Source organism: Homo sapiens, chromosome 2 (genome assembly GCF_000001405.40).
Source record: "Homo sapiens chromosome 2, GRCh38.p14 Primary Assembly".
Taxonomy (NCBI): domain Eukaryota; kingdom Metazoa; phylum Chordata; class Mammalia; order Primates; family Hominidae; genus Homo; species Homo sapiens.
The window spans coordinates 4,379,850-4,383,599 of record NC_000002.12 but is presented as its reverse complement, the minus strand read 5'-3'; the positions used below and the strand labels follow the sequence as shown (position 1 = coordinate 4,383,599).

At 38.1% G+C, this 3,750-nt stretch overlaps 2 annotated features.

Moving 5' to 3' along the window:
- Positions 1,386 to 2,103: an enhancer, noted in NCBI's record as "OCT4-NANOG hESC enhancer chr2:4429087-4429804 (GRCh37/hg19 assembly coordinates)". NCBI's record gives its function as "activates a minimal SCP1, AML or CMV promoter by ChIP-STARR-seq in primed H9 embryonic stem cells {active_cell/tissue: H9 hESC(primed)}" and the evidence as "EXISTENCE:reporter gene assay evidence [ECO:0000049][PMID:30033119]".
- Positions 2,104 to 2,822: an enhancer, noted in NCBI's record as "OCT4-NANOG hESC enhancer chr2:4428368-4429086 (GRCh37/hg19 assembly coordinates)". NCBI's record gives its function as "activates a minimal SCP1, AML or CMV promoter by ChIP-STARR-seq in naive and primed H9 embryonic stem cells {active_cell/tissue: H9 hESC(naive and primed)}" and the evidence as "EXISTENCE:reporter gene assay evidence [ECO:0000049][PMID:30033119]".

Below are 3,750 nucleotides of genomic sequence, written 5' to 3'. Positions count from 1 at the left end.
CCAAGATGGTTGGGACACAGCTTGGTTTTATACATTTTAGAGAGACATTAGACCTCAATCAATATATGTAAGATGTACAAAAGATGTACAATGGTTCCGTACAGAAAGGTGGAACAACTCGAAGCAGGAGGGGACTTCCAGGTCACAGGTAGGTTAGGAAGCAAAAAGTTGCATTCTTTTGAGTTTTTAATTAGCTTTTCCAAAAGAGGCAATCAGATATGCATTTATTTCAGTGAGCAGAGGGATGACTTTGAGTTGTCTGTCCTTTGTCCACAAGGAGATTCCTTGTGAGGGAGGTATGTAGCTTTTTTGTCTTAGTAGCTATCTTTTTAAGGAATAGAATGGAAGGCATATTTGCCCTCAACAGTTCCCGGATTGACTTTTTCCTTTGGCTTCATGATTTCAGGGGTCCAAGATTTATTTTACTTTCACAATGCTATATTTTGTTCTGCTTTGTTCATCTCTACCCAACCGTCTTGGTGCACATTATGCCACATATCTGCCAGAGGTGGGAAATGCATAGATGTTATGTAATCAATCCAGATACAACTAACATCAGAACTTTAGGTTTTTATGTTTGACTGGAATACTTTGGGGAATGAAAGAAGGTAACTTAAATGGCTTGGTCACCAGTTCTAAGATGGTCCCCAGTGATTCCTGGTATTCATGTCCTTGTGCCATTCCCCCACCAACCCAACAACACTGTACCAGGGCTGTTCTGTGTCATCAGTAGTAGTAGCATAAAGTAGAGGTGATAGGATATCACTTTCAACATCAGGTGATGGAAAGACACAGCTTCCACTGTGGTGCATGTTCTACCTCTGTCTCTCTTGCTCATTCTTGAATCATTAGCTCTATATAGTCTTTGATGGCATATAGTTAGTTCTCTCAAAAATATAATATCCACTAAATATTTTGAATAAATGAAAAAAAATTTACACAATAAAAATTAAAAGCTTTATATATTTTAATAAAAATATAATTATTAGAATTTAAAATGTGTGTGGGGGGGTGGTGGGTGTGTTGTATGGGAGGGTTAAAATGCCATTCCAGAACCCAGAATCCTTTTTTTCTTTTTTTTTTTGAGACAGAGTCTTGCTCTCTTGCCCAGGCTGGAGTGCAGTGGCGTAATCTCAGCTCACTGCAACCTTCGCCTTCTGGGTTCAAGCAATTCTCCTGCCTCAGCCTCCTGAGTAGCTGGGATTACAGGCATGTGGCAGCACGCTCAGCTAATTTTTGTATTTTTAGTAGAGACAGGATTTTGCTATGTTGGCCAGGCTGGTCTCGAACTCCTGACCTCAGGTGATCCGCCTGCCTCGGCCTCCCAAAGTGCTGGGATTACAGGTATGAGCCACCGCACCCAGCTGAACCCAGAATCTTTTTAACAGAATTAAAGATGTTGGAATAATAACTTTTCTGGAACAGAAGATATCTGTGCTGCTTATTTTTTATATACTTATTGTTATTCGTGTTTTCATTTAGTGAATGTTTTTGCACACTTTGAAAGTACCTGACACTTTTTGGAATCTTGGAGATGTAAAGATCAAAAGACATTCCTCACTTTTGGAAGCTCTATCTAGCAGAGTGATTACTTCTATGGCATGCCTATCAGCACCTCCCACTGGAGGACCCTTGCTTCTCTTCTCCATCACATTCCCTACTGCTAACACAGAGCCATATGAATGGGCATGGAATGAGAGAAAACTTAGTGAGAGGCTCACTTTTTAGTACTAAGACTGGAACTTGAGTCTAGAACTGTCTTATTTCACGATTCATGTATTTTCTTTTTTCTGTTACGCAACTCCATATTATAAAGAATATCTCTGAGACACATATTCAATTAGAAAAAAGAAAATCAGAGTATTTATAAGCTGTGTCTATCAATGAAACCTTCCAAATATTTATCATTTATTTTGTACTAACAGATGTCATAGTCTTGCCTTTCTCTTCATGTATTTATCAGAACCTAGAGCAGCTCTGTTAGGTTTATTTATCCTTCCAATGGATCTCCGGCAATCACATGTCTCTGATGATAAGCTGGTCTATATACTGGGGATAATTGAAAATAATAAAAATTTTGAAGAACAAAGGAGTCCTTGGAAACCAAAGACACCCTACAGCAGTAGGCAACCACACTTAGTCAGATTTAAATCACAAAGACCTCATTAGAATGTCCTTGTTCTGCTGTAGTTAACATTTGATTAGGTGGGTGCCTGGAGTTACTGCCTTTCTTAATTAAATCACACTCCACTTTTACCCACCCCCAGGAAAAAGGGAAAAGAAAAGATGGATTCAGCACACTCCCCTTCGAATGCTAATTACTGTAAGCAGTGAAAGTCCTAAATCAGAAGGTTCATTCAGCTGGCTGCCCCATCCGTGAGGAAGACCCTGCTCACTTTTACAAGTGAAGTCGACTCTATTGTGTCTCTAATAATAGGCACAGATGTTGGGCCCGCCTTTCTCTGAGCGACTTTTGGCTAATAACTACCTTCAATGTGTCCCAGTTGCACCTGTTCAGCATTTTAAAATGAATTAGTGTGCTTGATTGCCTCCAAAAATCTTGTCCACTTTTGTCAACCTGATTATACTGCCACAATGCAAACCGATTATATGAGCGGCAGCCATTCAGCAAGCTGGAAGGAGGCCAACCCTACCAGCAGCCTAAGCTTTTTTATAGTTTTTGTTGTTGTTATTCTTAATGATTGCCTGACTTTAGAGAGGTCTTGAATTAATAACCACAGAAGATGGCTCTCACCGGCAGTCAGGTTGGAAAGGTCACCTAAGGTGGATCCATGTAGTAGTAAGGATGGGATGGCTAACAAATCAGAGCATGCCACACCAAGGATATCAGGAGTGATGTTAAATTATCTCAGCTAGGGAGCTGAGATCTTGAAGGACACATTACTGGGAAAGACACGCAGATAGTCAACGAGATAGATAAGCTACAAAGGACGTGCCCCTCTTCTTTGCAGTGCCAGGCAGCCGTAGAAATTCTGAGACCAATTCAAGGACCTGCTTTTATTTTAAAAACACAGCCATTTTATGTTTTTTTAAATATCTCTGTTCTCTCCTGTTACATATACCATGCTAATTTCACTTTCAGTTAGGATAGAAAAAATTTAAAAAGATATTAATATGGACATATAGAACATTTGTTTATTGAGTGTCTAAATCTCTCTACCTACTTAAAACTCAACTAATACCCCAAGCCTGAGAAATAATTAAGGGAGTTATCATAAAAATATACAACTGGTTTTTAAGCAAGCATTAAAAATGATGTTCAAAAAAAACTGAAGGCATGGGTAAAATCTTATTGTCATGTTTTTGATTAATTCCCCAGCAACTGCTTTGGTGCCAGCCAGGCACAGAGTAGAAATTCAGTGGCATATATTGAATGAATGAGTACCTAATTTAATAAAGAGATGAAATATAATACTAAGTGAAAAATTGCATAATTTGGAGGATCTATATAAATATTTATAAAAAGTGTTGCAAGGAAATATCAACCAAATGCTATTAGTAGAGATGCAAAGAGTGGATTATAATATTATTGCCATGTTTTTCTTCTTACTTTTTTGTACTTTCTAAAATAAAATTCTAAAAGTATTTTTAAAATGCTTAAAAAATAAAATAAGCTTACTGATGTATTTAAGCTCCTTACAGATTCTGAACATTAGACCTTTGTCAGATGTGTAGTTTGTGAGTACCTTCTCCTATCCTGTAAGTTGTCTGTTTACTCCCTTGAAACTT